Source organism: Homo sapiens, chromosome 14 (assembly GCF_000001405.40).
Source record: "Homo sapiens chromosome 14, GRCh38.p14 Primary Assembly".
Classification (NCBI taxonomy): domain Eukaryota; kingdom Metazoa; phylum Chordata; class Mammalia; order Primates; family Hominidae; genus Homo; species Homo sapiens.
Window position 1 is genome coordinate 50871799 of NC_000014.9, and position 17643 is coordinate 50889441.

The window sequence follows — 17643 nt, forward strand, 5'->3', positions numbered from 1 at the left end:
AGCTTATATTCTTCATGAAAATCAAAAGCTGTGGCGGTCAAACTTTTGTGTTAGTAGTACCATGGTGAAAACATATTTTACTGCGTTGCGCGCGCCTCACACCCACACACACACAGAAGTATAATGGAAATCAATTTAAAATAAAATGTAGCATAGCTAGCTATAAGCTTAGGACATCTGTGTGTGTGTGTGTGGCCGCGAACAGCCTGACCCGGGCGGAGCGCACCCTCGGGCCGCGTCTCCCCCGCCGTACCAGCCTGCCTGACCGCGCGGAGGAGGAGGGCGGGCGCGGTGCCGCCGGGGCGGGAAGGTCGCGGGCGGCTGCTCCGGACTGCAGCTCCCGCGGCGGTGGCGGCGTATCGGGACACGGCGCGGGATGGACGCGCAGGACTGCCAGGCGGCCGCATCGCCCGAGCCGCCCGGGCCCCCAGCCCGTAGCTGCGTGGCCGCCTGGTGGGACATGGTCGACCGCAACCTGCGGTGAGTACCGCCCGGTCCACCCCTGGCCGGGCCCCGACGGCTCAGGCTGCGCGGGGATGGGGCAGGGGGCCAGGGCGCGGCCGAGGCCGCAATCCCCTCTGCTGGCCCGGGCCCAAGGCCCAGCATTGTGGCTTCCGGGGGACCTCGGCGGCCCCCTGAGAACTCTAGGGCTCTTTGGTTGCCCTTGCTATCCTCAGCCTCAATCCCAACCTGGACCAGCGAGACTCTCAGGTTTGGTATTTCAGGAAGTTATAACTTTTGGGGGCTTCTGAAATACAGATGCCAGGGAGATGGTTGAATTCCTACACCAATCTCTATTATCTGACCATTTTGCTAACATACAAGATGGATCTGAATGACATTAGTAATAGTGACAATAGTAATATATGTTGTAATCTTGGACGGGATCCTCTTAGGTCAAGGGCCTATCTGTGTAGGTGGAAAAGAATCAGAAAATCCGTGCCTAGTTCCCTGAGTGTGAACTCCCTGGCATGTATTTAAAGAAAACACCTCCAGTATGCTAAAGATGTACATAGTGTGTTGAAACCATAACTTGGCATTACCTGTGCCAAGTTCTTATGTTGTTTAAGTCTGAAATGTATCAGTGGGTGTTTCGGGTTTTGTTTCTGTTTTCTTCCTCCCATGGATCCTCGGTTTAAACAGTAATCTTAAATTACCTGAATCCACCTGCAACATATTGTCAGTCTTGTTTGCACTGAAGCCAGGTATTGGTTGGAGATCGTGGACCCAGGACACGTGGGTATTTCATTTAGTTTTGTTGGTGTGGGAAGGTATTGGCATTTTTACTTCCCTCTTTCTATTCCTTTTGTTTAATTTGTGCTGATTAGAAAATATCCAAAAATTACATCCAGACACAGGAGACCTCACTTTGGAGTGCCCAGAGTGATGATGACAAACGGGGATCTTTTCTCTCTCTCTCTCTCTTTTTTTTTTCTTTTTTGAGACAAGGGTTTCACTCTGTTGCCCAGGCTGGAGTGCAGTGGCACAATCTTGGCTCATTCCCAGGGCTCCAGCGATCCTCCCGTCTCAGCCTCCCCAGTAGCTGGGACTACAGGCACCTGCCACCACACTGAGCTGATTTTTGTATTTTGTGTAGATATGGGTTTTCACTACATTGTTCAGGTTGGTCTCAAACTCCTGGAGCTCACAGATTCCACCTGCCTTGGCACCCCAAAGTGTTGGGATTACAGGTGTGAGCCACTGCACCTGGTCTCTTTTCTCTTCTATTCCTTTTTATTCTCATTGCAGACAGCAGAGTGCTGGCAGCTCTGCAGGGGCCCAGTCACCTAGAACCCATGCCTCCCAGCTCTGGGTTGGATCTGAACACGTGGCAGAATGTCCTGATTGCACTTGTCAAACTGCATATTAACAGGACTTCTCTCCCAGATGTGGTGATTCTGGGAACGTTGACATCTAATGTTTTTCACTTTGATGGTCTCTGTGGAATTGATGGCTGATTATTTAACATTTATTTGGCAGTAAAGGGCATTTATTAGGCAGAGAATCAAAGTTGCACATCATACTCATAGAGAATAACCCACTTTGTTGATAATGGAGTGGGAGATAGGGAGTTGGGGACCATCTATTACTTGCCTTACTAATTAGTGAAAAAAGTCTCAAGAGACACTTCCTGAAAGAACAAAATACTAGCGTATGTCTTCATCTGAGCAGAAGATTATTGGCTACCATAAGATGTGCTGAGGCTGAGGCCCAGACCCATTTCCACTATCCCAAGTCCTCTTTGATTCTTGGAGCCGGGTTCACTTAGGTGAGCAAACCTTCATGGAGGGCTTGCCATGCCCCTGGCCCTGATCATGGCACTGGAACTAGTGGGATGTGTTGTGAGACCCAAGAACATTTCATCATATGATTTTTTCAGTGGCTATTTTTTAATGCCTTGGGAATCTAGTTATTTATTTTACAAAAATTTTTATCAAATCCAGTTGCTGCTTAAGGTGGGTGGGCCAAGGAGAGTAAGTCTCCACTTTACAACTGGTTTTCTTTAAATTAGAAAAATGAGGCCAGGCATTGTGGCTCACATCTGTAATCCCAGCACTTTGGGAAGCCAAGGCGGGCAGATCATGAGGTCAGGAGATGGAGACCATCCTGGCTAACACAGTGAAACCCTGTCTCTACTAAAAATACAAAAAATTAGCCAGGCGTGGTGGCACATGCCCGTAGTCCCAGCTACTCCGGAGGCTGAGGCAGGAGAATTGCTTGAACCTGGGAGGCGGAGGTTGGAGTGAGCCGAGATCGCACCACTGCACTCCAGCCTGGGTGACAGAGCGAGACTCCGTCTCAAAAAAAAATAATAATAAAAAAAGAAAAATGGAAAATGTGCTCCAGAAGGAAGTTGGGGGAAACCAAAGGTTTATTTTCCTCCTCATTTCCCCCATTCCACCCCAAGTCATTACAATCCTAGATAGTGCTCAGAAAATGTGCAGGAGTAGGCTGATAAATGTGTTCATTCTTTCCACAGCGTTGGTTCTTTATTATCTATTGGATAGTATTCTAGTCTTGGTCACACAGCAGTAAATAAAACAGACAAAATCCTTGCTCTGTGGAGCACACATTGATTCATTTGCAATTGTAAGTAAAAAAAAGAAAATGAAGTCCTTCCTCTTTCCTCTGAAGCTACCAATAAATGTTGCTTCCTTCTCCCTTACAAAATAAATGCACTCTCTTTCTATTTTCAACCTATGCGTCAATATTTACTGAGCTCAGCCCTGGGCTAGACAGAGGGAAATGTAAAGGAAGCATTCTATGCCATGTTGTTCTTGTTGTCTGTGGCCTGATAGAGTGGAGAAGACAGGGCTAATAATGGGAAAGCCATCACAGAACAATTCAAGGCCAGCTGAGGCCCCGTTATTATTTGTGGGAGGAAAGACAAGAGAGGAGAGGTCACCATGGAATGATCTCTCCAGGAGACTTTGACAAAAAAGAGATACTTCCATGGGTGTGAAGGAAGAGGGGATTTGGTTGGGAGGATGTCTCCCGGTGCTTGGTGACAAACACATGTCGACTGAGTGAATTGGCACACAGGTTGAAGGTACCTGTCTTAATATTTGAAATAGTAAATGTAGTTAGATTTGGGCTTCCCAAAGTTGGTTTGCAGAAACCTCTGAGCATGAGTGATTCACCCTGTAGCAGCTCAGACTCCACCAGCTTTCACCAGTAAGAATCATCCAGTTAGGTTCTGAGTCCCCTGTGGGACGCTGTGTGGTTACAGCTGCAGCTGATCAAAGGGCAAGTGAAAGAACACCAAAGCACCAAGGTGGCCGTTTGATGTGGCTGGCCGTTAGCGGGGATTGGGCTGAAACTGCATCCTCTGCTCAAATAAGGTCTATTAGCCACTGGTGACTTTTGATCCCTTACTGATCTAGGGGAAGTCAAATTGACAACCCCTTAGTTAAAAGAAGCTGCTTTGCATTATTGATGCTCTGAGGATCTGGTCACTCTGTTCTCTTCCCGCAGTGCATCTCAGAAAAGTGCCTCGAGCTATTTGAGAGAAGGACTGTGTATGAATTATTCCTTAAAAAACAGACACACATTTCCCTCTACTGCCTCTGCTTCCCAAGCAGACCTTCAAAACATAGCTTAGCGGGAGACTACCCTGCCTACCTTCAAAAGACAGCTTAGCTGGAGACTAACAGGCAGGGTGGAGGTGAGTGAGGGGAGCTTAGAAGGAAGCCAGCAGGAGCCAGCAGCTGGAAGGAGGCACAGTTCAGCCTTGGGTTCAGTTCTGTCCATTTGGGCTTGATCTGTGGCTCAAAGTGGCTTCTCTGGGTTTTGATTTCTTATCTCTAAAATCAGAACAACAATGTCCTCTCCTTCCTGCCGCCTTCATGGCAGGGGTGGTGGGGTGCTATTTTAAAGTATTATGAAACAATCATTTTCATTTCTTTCTTGCTGATTTTATGAGTAGGCAATTGCCAGCGTATGATGTATTCAAAAATCTATCCATTACCCTTAGCCCACATATCTTTTCCACTTCTTGCAGAACTGCTGGAAATTCATCAGAGATTCATTATCTTCTCTCTTCGTGCCTCTTCCAAACACATATAAGTGCTCTGATTTTTAAGTCATTAACACTTCAGGGGGAATTAATTTTTTTAGAGGTCTTTCTTTGATGACTTTGTTATCAGAGGGCTCCTGAGAATACAGGAGCAGGAAGGAGGAAAGAAGAAAGGACGGGACCCTGCTGAGAGGGCTAAGGTGCAGAAGGAGATCTTAAAACAAGATTGTCTATGAGCAGAATTTTGCCAGAGGCCAGCTTTGTTCCTGGGGTTCATTTCTGCTTACATGGATGTCACCAAGACTGTGACATCCTGGAGATCATTATAAGACTATGGGATCAGACAGACCTGGGTATGTGTGGCTCTGCCATTCATTGACTTGTGACCTTGGAAAGATTACTTAACTTTCCAGTCTCATTTGCAAAGCAAAGGTAATAATTATCTTCCAAAAATGCCTCTGGTCTAGCATAGAAATCAGGGCAGGGGAGACAATTTATCAAAAATGCTTTCCAGCCCCTCAACCTTACCATTTGATTATATTAAACAGTTTTAACAATGATCTCTTACAACATGGAAAGGGACTTACTTAATGGATAATGTGGGCAAAAACTGGAAGCAGGAGGTGATGACATTGACCTCCTGTATCCCTCACCTCTCTAAGACCCTCACAAGAGAGGTGGCTTGAGACAGAGGTGTCCTTAGTGACCCCTCATGGACAAATCGTCACTTGTGTGCTGACAGCTCCTGATTGGGTGGTTTGTGTCACAGGGAACAATAGCGTAGGCAAGATGTGCATGCGCCCATCCCACTCCCTGACCAGGCTCCAGCCCTGTGCCTCATGGGTCCATCTCTTCCAGGGATCTCATCTCAGAAGTGGGGTCTCCTAACACTGGCTCATTTCTTCCTAAGATAAGTCCAGAATATAGAGGATCTAGGGATTATTCCCTCACTGCCTGAGACTAATGATAAGAATAGCTAACACATATAGTGCAGAATTGTGATATAATTAAAAACTGCAGCAACTGTTAAACTGTCTGAATCCTGTTTACTGGTGACTTTGGGGTCCAGCCTCAGCCTTCTATGGGGCTACAGTAAGGGACCAAACCTGGCTGTGGTGCGAACATATCCCTTCCCTTCCTGTCCCTGCCATGTCCTGGCTTTTTCAGCTACTGGTTGGGGCCCTGCCCTATTACTTTCCTTACCTGGTTTCCCCTTAGTCCCAGTCTTGGCCTGCCGTGTAGATAATTCCTTGTCATTGTGTAAAAGATTTTGCTTAAATGCCATCTGACCCAGAATTCCCAGTGTTAGTCTCTGAAATTTGGGGGCGGATCACCTGAGGTCAGGAGTTCGAGACCAGCCTGGCCAACATGGTGAAACCCTGTCTCTACTAAAAATACAAAAATTAGCCAGGCATGGTGGTGGGTGCCTGTAATGCCAGCTACTTGGGAGGCTCAGGCAGGAGAATTGCTTGATCCCGGGAGGCAGAGGTTGCAGTGAGCTGAGAACATGCCATTGCACTCCAGCCTGGGCAACAAGAGCAGAACTCTGTCCAAAAAAAAACAAAGAAAAAGAAAAAAACAAACCAAGACAAATGGATTAATTTCGAAAACCTTGTGTGTTTCCCAATACCTTGCAGATATTTTCCACACTCCTGTTCAATGCTCGGAAGAAAAATTGCTGCTCTGTATGACAGCTTTACTAGTAAATCCTTAAAAGAACACGTTTTCCTTCCTCTGATAGACATGCTAATTTATTTTAATTTTTGTAAGTATGGACCTTCCATAAATTTTCCTATATAATTTTTCCCAAATAAAGACCTCAGTACCCTTAAAGTTGTGACGTAGTGAAAAGACATGTCAGCTGTAAAATTGTGGTTAGACTGAAATGGTCTGAAACTTATTTAATATTGACTTTGAAGTCTAGCAGGAATCCTTGCAAACTGTTGGGAGTAAAGAGAGATGCATGGCCTTGTGGGTGGGGGTTCCATTCACAGTCCTTCTAGTTCTTACCTGCTTGCCTCCTGGTAAGCAGGTAGTTCTGGACATTTCTTGCCTTTTGGCTGATGATTAGGTTTCACCGAAGTAGCAGAATACTTATTATTTTCTTCTAGGCCTTTTTACCTTCTTAGGGGAATGGTCTCCACTGCTTTTAAAAAGCTGGAGACAAGGATAAGGATTGAATAACTCTGTTTCTCTATTATGAGCCATGACACTGATGCTATTTTAAAATCTAGCTTTTAGGTTTTTGTTTTTTGCCCCTCCTCTGCAGGCTAGTCCTAGCTGATAAAATAAAATACTCTGCTAGGAGTTTAGTGTAGTAGCTTGCAACTTAGAAGCCTGTTAACCTGTGTAGGCTAATTCCTTTCTTTGATTGTGATTAAAAGGCATGGAATTTGATTCTTGAAGTTGATAATGATTTTTACTTTCCAGTCAAAGCCCCATTTCTTGTGGATTTAAAGAAACCAGAGTTAAAGATTCCTCACACAGTGAACTTCTACCTGAGAGTTGAACCTGGGGTGATGCTAGGGATCTGGTGAGTGCACGGATGGGACACCGGGTTGCTTGATGGGGCAGGTGTTCCTGTTAGGACTCAGAGGAGCAGTGCTGTGTTACCTGCCCACGGAGAGGTCGGTGCTCCTGGAGGTACCTGGAGGCTGTTTCCTACACCTTCCTCTTCTGTTGATTTGCTTGATTTTCCTAAGAATTTTGCTTTGGAGTATAGACATTTAGGTGTTGCCCTTGGCTTCTGGCCTCACCCATCCCTTCTGCCTTATTCCATACCACCCTTGCCTTCATGCCCTTAACTCCAGACACACTGTCCTCCTAGGACATGCTCTGCCTTCAAGGCTTCCTTCTATTTCTCAGCTCCCTGCCTTCCCTCTTGCCTTGCTAACTGTCTACTCATCTATTGGATCTTACTTTAATTGGTAATTTTCAGAAAAGCCTTTCCTCACTGCCCGTTTTAGGTATGTGCTGTCATGGCCATCTGTGCTTGTCCCTTTTGACAATTATTCCCATTGTCATGAAATAAATGTTTGTGTGATGATTTGGTTAATATTTGTCTTCCTTACAAGACTATAGCTTCAGCAGGTGATAGACTTTGTTGGTGGGTTTTCATTGCTTAGCACAATGTTTGGCACATAAAGGGCATTCAGTAAATATGTCAGATGAGGTCATGAACAGTCTATTGTCTTACAATGCTAACCTTAACATTTCTTCTGTTTAGTTGTAATACTCATTCTTGGCTGCCAAGTTTCCAGTGACCTGTTTTCTATTTCATCTCCCTGAGTTCAAACCTTTGATCATAAAATGTTTAGGACAAACCCATAACTTCTTCCTACTCTTCAGGGTACAGTTCACCCAAATGTGTTGGAATTTAGAAATCTTTTTATTTTTTGCTTTTGCCCCACTGGTCCTTGGTTTGGTGAGTCAGCTATCTCATCAAGATCAGCTCATCCAGCAGGCAGCAGTGCCTATATTCGGAGTACAGAGGCCCTGGGGATGATGGCAGACTTTCTGTCCTTAAGTGATGGAGAGGACAGAAGATTTGTCACCCTTAGCCAGTTCTCCACATCCCATGGTGACATGTCATATGGCAGTGTTTGCATTTGCAGCATTCACTGGTTTAACAAAGTGGAGAAACTGGAACTCACACAGATGTTTAAAATCACAAGGTTTCTTGGTTTCTGGAGCAAAATAGTTTAGTGTTTTAGTTCTTTTCTCTTACATAAACTGGTTTCTCTTTAAATTATTTCCTACTTATCTCTTCGGCCGAACTCATGGCAGATGGTAAACATCTATTATCTTTTACTTGTTTCCCTTTTTAAAAAAAACAATTTCAATGGGCTGTACCTAAGAACTGCAGTCTTGGAAAATTAACAGGTGCAGAAGTCAGAAGAACGAAAACAGTAAGTCGTTAAAAGGCATTGTCTCTGTGCATGGGGACATGGGGTAGGGCAGTTGTGGTTCTCGTCATAAGACTTTTTGTGGTGTTAGATTTTTATTTTTGCCATGTGCATATATTAGTCGGATAAAAAATTAAAATATATGTATATATATCATAAGGAGACTTTCGGCCTTTGGAAAGGATGGAGAATTCCTCTTTCTACATTTGTTTAAACCTCCCTTGCTCTTCAGGCACACAGTCCCCAGCTGCCGGGGGGAAGATGCCAAGGGGAAGGACTGTTGCTGGTATGAAGCAGCCCTTCGTGATGGGAACCCAATTATTGTTTATCTTCATGGCAGTGCAGAACACAGGTCAGTGGCTCTGCTTACATATTTTTTTTTCAGGAGATTGAGAGCATTTCAGCCCCATGGGGGAATGAAGGACAGGGCTCTGTTTTTAACTCTGTAGGCATGCCTTCACATATTTCTTCTCCTTTGTTGAAATCTGAGGGTGTTCTGGCAATAAGCTTCACTTAAAAAGATTATTCTATATGTAGAATAATGTGGATCCCTAACTGAGGAGAAAAGAATAACTCTTCCAAAAGTTGGATGTTGATTTCAAAGAAAGTGATGATTCCTTTGCTCCCGAAGAGTGTCTGAAATGATGGATTGAACCCATGAATGACAGGAAAGGGAACAGGCACGCATTATGGGGGAAAGGAAGAGCCATTTCCAGATCAGAGATTTTTCAGAACACTACAGTGGAGAGTCCTTTATTTAGCTTTAATGTTATTAGCTGAAAATATGACTCCTTAAGAGAGGTCACACGGAATTCTGACCACAGGTACTGGGGACCGTCTGACTAATTCTAGAATATTCATACCTCAGCCCATTCTCTGTAGTCCCAACCTCGCTCTGTAACAAAGAACGTCTCCCAGGAGTCTGGCTCCCCTTCGATGTGCTGTCAGAGCCTTTTTGGGCCTGTATGATTATGTTGGGTGACGATCATCGGCTGTGACTGTGCCCCTGAAGCTTGGGGCAGGGGCGATGTGCCTCAGAAACACACAGATCTCCACCATCTTGGGAGGAGCACCTGCCTGTGACTCCCTTCCTCCCTGTCTTTTTCTGGCAGGTGACTCGCCTTTCTCAAGACTCGCCTTTTCTCAAGGGGCTTTTTTGATGTGTCCATTTTAGAGCCACATTTGCTGAAATTTCCTGTGAAACCCAGCATTTTTTTTTTTTTTACATTTCCCCTTCTCCTAGTTATTTATTCCTCCAACCTGAAAGAGAAAGGCGTGAGATCAGATACCAGCAGCACGAGAGTGATTTTTATTGAATTTGTTATCATCGTTCCTAATTCTTGCTTTTTTTTTTTTTTTTTAAACTTCCTTCACAGGGCAGCTTCGCACAGACTGAAGCTGGTAAAGGTATGTCTGAAGAGGCCTCAAAGCACCCATTTCATAAGTCTGTTTGATATGTCATAAGATTTTCCTCAGGCCCTCCGCGTGGTTGTTTTTTGAGAGGTCTCCAGGGTACTGGTCAGGGTGGGTTGTGGTGTCTGGGGCTCAAAGTCCCACCGGTGGACTTCTGCTCCTACACTGATCAAAACAGAACCGAGCTTCTCTAGGTCCCAAAGTACCTTCGTGAACTTAATAACCTCATTGCCAAATGGAGGTGAAGACATTTTTATTTGCTTTCTCTGAGGGCTGGGGGATGGGTTGAGAGAGGTTTTTTTTGTTGTCGTTGTTGTGGTTGTTGTTTTTTGAGATTCTGTTGCCCAGGCTGGAGTGCAGTGGCATGATCTCCACTTACTGCAACCTTCACCTCCCAGGCTCAAGCGATTCTCCTGCCTCAGCCTCCCGAGTAGCTGGGATTACAGGCACCAACCACCACGCCCGGCTAATTTTGTATTTTTTAGTAGAGACAGGGTTTCACCATGTTGGCCAGGCTGGTCTTGAACTCGTGATCTCAGGTGATCCACCCACCTCCGCCTCCCAAAGTGCTGGGATTACAGGCGCGAACCACCTCACCCGGCTGACGTTTTTATTTGCTTTCTCTGAGGGCTGGGGGATGGGTTGAGAGAGTATTATTAAGGTGCAAAATGGTCACTCCTTTTAAAAGAATCAACCTTTTTAATTTCTAGTGGTTATAGGCTAAAGACACAGAATGTCTGCTTTTTTTTTTTTTTTTTTTTTGAGACGGAGTCTCGCTCTGTTGCCCAGGCTGGAGTGCAGTGGTGCTATCTCGGCTCACTGCAAACTCCGCCTCCTGGGTTCATGCCATTCTTCTGCCTCAGCCTCCCAAGTAGCTGGGATTACAGGCACCTGCCACCACGCCCGGCTAATTTTGTTTTTGTATTTTTAGTAGAGACAGGGTTTCACCGTGTTAGCCAGGATGGTCTCGATCTCCTGACCTCGTGATCCGCCTACCTTGGCCTCCCAGAGTGCTGGGATTACAGGCATGAGCCACCGCGCCCACCCAGAATGTCTGCTTTTAAAAGGCATTCAAGGCTGGGTGCAGTGGTTCACGCTTGCAGTACCAACACTTTGGAAGGCTGAGACCTGGAGTTCAAGACCAGGGTCTCAACTTAATGAGACCCTGTCTCTACAAATAATTTTAAAATTAGCTGGATGTGGTGGTACTTGCCTGCAATTCCAGCTACTCAGGAGGCTGAGGTGAGAGGATTGCTTGAGCCTGGGAGTTTGAGGCTGCAATAAGCTAGGATTGTGCCACCACACTGCAGCCTGAATGACAGAGTGAGGAGACCCTGACTCAAAAAAAAAAAAAAAAGTCATTGAAACCCTGGCTTCAGCCCATGTAAGGCTTTGTAGAGTAGCATGGTGGCCACACTTGCTCTCCTCACTCCCTGCTGCATGACTCTGGTTTGTTGGGACAGCCCCTGTGTTTCCAGGTATGCAGAAGATGGCAGGCTTTCCACTTAGCCATATCTGCCTCAGAACTGGTTGAACAAGCTGCCTGTTTATCCTCTTCCACCCTCTGGTTAGGTAATCTCCGCTGCTGGTGACCGGCTGGTGACCACAGGGACTTGGTCTCTCCTCCCACATGCTGGCTCCCACCTTGGAGTTCTTTCCTGATCAAACAATATTAGTGGGGCCCAGAATCCTGGCAGTACCAGTATCTCCAGTGCTTTCTTCATCCTCTCTTCCCTGTGCAGACAGGAAGCTCCTCTCCTGTCCCCTCCCCTCATCCCCTCATCACTGCCTTCTCAGAGCCAATGCTTGTAGAGTGGCAGGGGGCTGGGTGCAGTGTTGCCCAGGAGTACCATGTTTATTCATTTTTAGGTTTGCTTTCCCCTCTGCACCCTGCCCTTTGCATTCCCCACGTGGAACGTGGTAAAGCTAATGTCCGTGAGAATGTGCGTGCTTTTCCCCTCCCACTCAGAGCTGTCTCAATGTTCCCAGAAAGGAGAAGAGCTGTAGGTGTGAAATGCTGCCAGGTGATCCTTGTGGTAGTTAGGACGGGTGGGGAAGGAGAGTGGCTGGTATGGCAGGACTTTGCCCCCAGGCAGATCGTGGGCATCAAGTGCCAGTGCCATCATTGCCCAACAGGACCAAACTTCCTTAGCCCTTCCTTTCCTCCTCTGGATAGGTGATTTCTTTAAAAAAATAAATTTTCATTATTAAATTTTCATTCATTCATGTATTCATCACTGCAACAGACTAATACAGCTATTTTCATTTATTTGCATTCCCACCTAGTTTTTACTTCTCCTTATAAAAGGCTTTTGTTACTATGATTGTATCTATATATACGTTTAGGTTGTGCTCTTTTACTTCCCACTATTTTATAGACATTCTTCCATGTTTTCACAGTCATCATAGTTAGCCAGTTTAAAAGGTTGTGTCATTCTCCATTGTATTTATAAGCAATTGTTTACTTAACTGTTACACTGCTATTGGATATAAGATTTTTCCTCCCTGCATTTGCTTTAACTAATATTGTTTCAGAAAACTATAAGCATCTAGATTTTTCTTCTTTCATGTCTTTTTCCTAGAAATGAATTCTTAAGAGTAGGGTTTGTTGCAGTTGTGGTTCTTGGGTTGTATTGCCTAGTGGTCCTTCAACACGTGCTGCAACACACATGCATATTCCCATTTTCCTGGATGCTTAGCCGCTTGGCTAACTTTCTTGGAGGGAATGTAACAGATATGTAAAAGGTATATTTAGCTCCTTGTTATTAGTTTAATTTGTATTTACAAGTTCCTAATGAGGTTTTGCCACCCGGATATAAAATGCAGTGGGAGGAAGCGCAGTATTTGGACAGGGGCAGACCCAGGAGTGAATCTTCGTTCTAGTTCTAGCCAGTTGGGTGATGTTAAATAAGTTACTTAAGCTCCACAAGGCTCAGTTTATCCGTAAAATGGGGATAATATCTACTTTACAGTACAGTTGTGAGGATTAAATAAAGTTTCAAAAGTGCCTGCACAGTAAAATTTTGTCCTTTTTTATCTCTCTTTTCTTTATCTATGATTGTATTTCTTCTTTTTTTTTTTTTTTTTTTTTTTTTTTTTTTTGAGACAGAGTCTCTGTTGCCCAGGCTGGAGTGCAGTGGTGTGATCTTGGTTGCTCACTGCAACCTTAGCTTCCTAGGTTCAAGCGATTCTCCTGCCTCAGCCTCCTGAGTCCTGGGATTACAGGTGTGCACCACCACACCCAACAATCATTGTATTTCATTTCATGAAAAATTATGTTTTCATTATTCATATTTAATATAAATAGCTTCCCCTTTTTGATTGCTTCTACTACAACTCTGTGTAGAGTTCTTATTCTCAAGGAATTTTTAAAAAGAGACATTTATAGACCTAAAGGCGACTATTATTGTTTCTCACTTTTCAGAATAATATTTACATATGTAAATGTTAAATAACTTGGCCAAGGTCACACAGCAGGTAAGTGGCAGAGCCAGCGTGAGACCCCGGGTGTCTGACCCTGCTCAGCCTTCCTGCTCTCCGTCTCTCCCACTGAGCCTCGCCTTCTCAAGTTGGAAGTCAAACACCAGATTTCAAAAATACATCTTTCCCCACCTGTTAAACTTGTGTGTATGCTTTGAACATACAGATACCTAGAGCATCCTAGAGATGTTTCTGACAGTGCAACAAACTTTCTTTTTAATCTTCATCGAATATAAAATAGCTGTTTTTCTATTAAAACAGCTGAGTTTTAATAGCTCAGAGTTTCTGACAGTGCAACAAACTCTCTTTTAAATATCTTCATCGAATACAAAATAATAGCTGTTTTTCTAGGTTCTGCAGTTAAAAAAAATACTAATGAACAAGTTAAAATTACCTTTGAAAGAGCCCTCCTTGTGATGTGATATGGATGGATATAGGGAGGAGAAGCCTTTTCTGTTTTCATCTTCTAATTAAAGTGATAACAGCTCCTTTGTTACCTAGGTGCTGAGTGATGGTGGCTTTCATGTCTTGTCTGTTGACTACAGAGGTATGTGTTAAGAACGGTGTACAAAGATGTTTCAGTAACCAGGGGGCCTCTGATGACCCCTCATTTTGAAGGCAGTGATACTGTGTTTGCCTTTTCTTGCTGCCAGGATTTGGGGACTCTACAGGTAAGCCCACAGAGGAGGGACTGACTACGGATGCCATTTGTGTCTATGAGTGGACCAAGGCAAGAAGTGGCATCACTCCCGTGTGTCTCTGGGGCCACTCTCTGGGTACAGGGTAAGTGAGATCTGCAAATGTGTCCTTAGGCAGGTCCTTGAGGCTTTAGTGTCCTATCAAAGGCAGCAGCCAGTAGTGGAGGGAGCACCGAGCCAGAAGACAGGGACTCTTTGCTGATCATTTTCACACACTAGAAGTGGCTGAAGATCTTGCCATCTTACCATGCTATTTGTAAAACAACAGAAGGTCCCTTCAGCTCTACGGTTATCTATTACATTGAAGTCCAAGTCTTTCTGAGGGTTTTAAAGGAAAGGATCCTTGGCCAGGCGGGGTAGCTCACACCTGTAATTCTAGCACTTTGGGAGGCTGAGGTGGGCAGATCACTTGAGGCCAGGAGTTCGAGACTAGCCTGGCCAACATGGCCAAACCCCATCTTTACTAAAAATACCAAAAATTAGCTGGGCTTGGTGGTGCGTGCCTGTAATCCCAGCTACTCAGGAAGCTGAGGCAGGAGAATCACTTGAGCCCAGGGAGGTAGAGGTTGCAGTGAGCCGAGATTGTACCACTGCACTCCAGCCTGGGTGACAGAGTGAGGCTCTGTCTCCAAAAAAAAAAAAAAAAAAGAAAGAAAGAAAGAAAATGACCCCCTTAGTATAGGGCCTGTGGAACCCTTTTAAATAGCGTGCAAATTTTGTGTCTATATGCATTTTTCTAACCAGAGAGCCCAGAGCTTTTATCAGATGCTCATACCAGAAGTTGCATTTTGTACTGTTATTGCTTAACACATGTACTAATTTTCATTGCTTTACAGAGTTGCAACAAATGCTGCAAAAGTGCTAGAAGAAAAAGGTAATATAAAATGCTTAAGTGGTATAATTTCCCATCTTCAGATGGGAAAGTAAAAACAGTCAAGAGACTATTGTGTACACTTTGAACATATAGACACCAAAAGCATCCCAACTTTAGATGGTTTCTGGCAGTGCAACAGGCTTTCTTTTTGATCTCCCTTTAATATAAAACAAGAGCTGTTTTTTCAGATTCTGCAGTTAAAAATAAATATGAAGGAACAAGTTAAAATCACCTTGAAAGAGTCCTCCTTGGCCGATGTGGTGGCTCACGCCTGTAATCCCAGCACTTTGGGAGGCTGAGGTGGGTGGATCACGAGGTCAGGAGTTCGAGACCAGCCTGGCCAAGATGGTGAAACCCTGTCTCTACTAAAAATACAAAAATTTGCCAGGCACAGTGGTGGGTGCCTGTAATCCCAGCTACTTGGGAGGTTGAGGCAGGAGAATTGCTTGAACCCAGGAGGTGGAGGTTGCAGTAAGCCGAGATTGCCACTGCATTCTAGCCTGGGCGACAGAGCAAGAGTCTGTCTCAAAAAAAAAAAAAAAAAAGAGTCCTCCTAGTGATATCATATTAATTTAAATTACAGGATAAAAAAATACTGTATCATTAAATGATACACAGAACTGGCTTTCTGCAGCCCTTCTTAGTAATATTTATGTCAGGGTTTCTCAAAGTGATCTAACTGTTAGTATCAGAATCTTCGACCCTAGCTGATTTGAAGAATTAGAATCTCTGTGAACAGGGTCATTTAAAAAAAATTAAAATTAGAATTTACTCCTTATATAGAGATGCTATATAAATGCAAATATTCATTACCCTAATGCCATACAATTTAAACATTTACATTACAATTATCTGCTTTTGTGTGTGTGTGTTTTGCTCATCTTTGTATGGCTATTTTTGATTAAGGGCTACACATGGCTTATGGAAAATCATAGAAATGATTTGAGGTTTGAACTGATATTATCTTCTTCCAGATATAATTTACTCTTCTCCTGAAAGGCAGTTATGGTAGGGACAGATCACCTTAATCTAATTAGAGATTGAGCTGATCTGAAGCTGGTCTTCAGTCTTTATGATGGCTGGCCTATTTCTAGTTCACATTACTCCTAGACTGTAGTTCTTTGAGATCACAACCAAAAGCCTGAGAAATGTACTAGGGTCCTCTTTTTTGTCAGATCCTGAACTCTAATTTCTGTCATTTGGATTAGGTCAGAATGCTGAAAGTTTTGTCTCGTTTCTGATTCTCTCAGCCACCACTATTGCTTTCAACTGAGTTGAGGGAAAAGGCAGCTCAAACTCTCTGGACTTCTCTCTTTTGGTATTGGTTCTGTAGTTTCTCACTGACCACTAGCCCCCATATCCTTTCAAACATATATGTATACATACCTTAACCAACCACATCTTTTCTAATTGTTCTTAGAGTCAGTGTTGACCAAAACAACCTAGTCAGCCTCTGGCACATTCTTAGCAACGGACTGCATGGACTGCAGAAAACCGTCTTCCTGTAGTACTTTGCTTTCTTTCTTTTTTTTTTTTTTGTGGCGGAGTCTTGCTCTGTCGCCAGGCTGGAGTGCAGTGGCGCAATCTCGGCTCACTGCAACCTCTGCCTCCCGGGTTCAAGCGATTCTTCTGCCTCAGCCTCTCGAGTAGCTGGGACTACAGGCGTGCACCACCATGCCTGGCTGATTTTTGTATTTTTAGTAGAGATGGGGTTTCACCATGTTGGCCAGGATGGTCTCCATCTCCTGACCTCGTGATCCGCCTGCCGTGGCCTCCCAAAATGCTAGTATTACAGGTGTGAGCCACCGTGCCTGGCCTTGCTTTCTTGTTGTCCAAGCCATGATGACCTGGTTGTGTTCTTAGAAGAAGGTAGTGGTTTTCAGTTATCATCATGTGCACAGAAACCTCTTGGGGAGGGGAGGGTGGAAGCGTGTTAAAATGCACATTCTCAGCCCTCACCCTGGAGAATCTGACTCATAAATATGAGGTGGGGTCCAGGAATTTGCATTATTAATAACCTTCACAAATAATTTTGATGCACGTAGCTCATGTACAAGATCTTGAATACCCCTTATCTAGGAAAGATGGTATTTGAATAGGGGAGTTACTGATTTCTTTCTTTCTTTCTTTCATTTCAAGGATGCCCAGTTGATGCTATTGTCTTGGAAGCTCCATTTACCAACATGTGGGTTGCAAGTATCAATTATCCCTTGTTAAAGGTGAGACTCTGATTCATCTTTACAAGGGATCAAAGTAGGCTATTTTGATACAGTGTAGGCTATTTCTACACATGTATGTTTATTAACAGTCTTCCTTTTCTTAAGTAGTTTTATATGTTTTTAAGTTATTCTAATCTGAGACAGTTTATTAACCAGTTACCACAAAAGGGAACCCATGGCTGTCGGATTTGATATTTCCTTCACTTTCTTCTAAGGATATCTGTTTTATAATTTTGTAGTAGATAGACTTGCCTTAAGTTTATTATTTATTTTTATTTTCTTCTTAAAAGTGAAAACAAACGTTTCATACATCATTTTTGAGCCCTATGAATGTCATTTGAATATCTTTCATAACTTTATCGTAAGAAAGTTTCTAGAGAATTTAAGAAAGCTGCCAAATACTTTTACACAGTATGCCAGATGAAGACAAACTTTCTAAGAAAATAAGTACAAAGGCCGGGAGTGGTGGCTCCCACCTATAATCCCAGCACTTGGGGAGGCTGAGGTGGCTGGATCACAAGGTCAAGAGATCGAGACC

The 17643-nt window shown here is 44.0% G+C and overlaps 1 protein-coding gene across 7 annotated transcripts in view, besides 1 other annotated feature; it reads left to right on the forward strand.

Moving 5' to 3' along the window:
• The first annotated feature begins 254 nt into the window (after nt 1–254).
• Nucleotides 255–17643, forward strand: part of ABHD12B (abhydrolase domain containing 12B) — a 32918-nt gene continuing 15529 nt past the window's right edge. For 2 of the 7 annotated variants that reach the window (NM_001206673.2, XM_011536472.2), the window contains exons 1-9: nt 255–480; nt 6154–6281; nt 6947–7049; nt 8654–8773; nt 9798–9828; nt 13816–13861; nt 13968–14097; nt 14849–14886; nt 17026–17105. In NM_001206673.2, coding sequence (NP_001193602.1) covers nt 377–480; nt 6154–6281; nt 6947–7049; nt 8654–8773; nt 9798–9828; nt 13816–13861; nt 13968–14097; nt 14849–14886; nt 17026–17105 — 780 coding nt within the window. In that variant the 5' untranslated portion in view covers nt 255–376. Of the gene's footprint in view, nt 481–1127; nt 1237–6153; nt 6282–6946; nt 7050–8653; nt 8774–9797; nt 9829–13815; nt 13862–13967; nt 14098–14848; nt 14887–17025; nt 17106–17643 lie in introns of those variants that run through there. The other 5 variants (NM_181533.4, XM_017021031.2, NM_181814.2 and 2 more) reach the window with 3 other exon arrangements.
• Nucleotides 3738–3787: a silencer, noted in NCBI's record as "silent region_5733". NCBI's record gives its function as "represses an Ori minimal core promoter by ATAC-STARR-seq in GM12878 lymphoblastoid cells {active_cell/tissue: GM12878}" and the evidence as "EXISTENCE:reporter gene assay evidence [ECO:0000049][PMID:35858748]".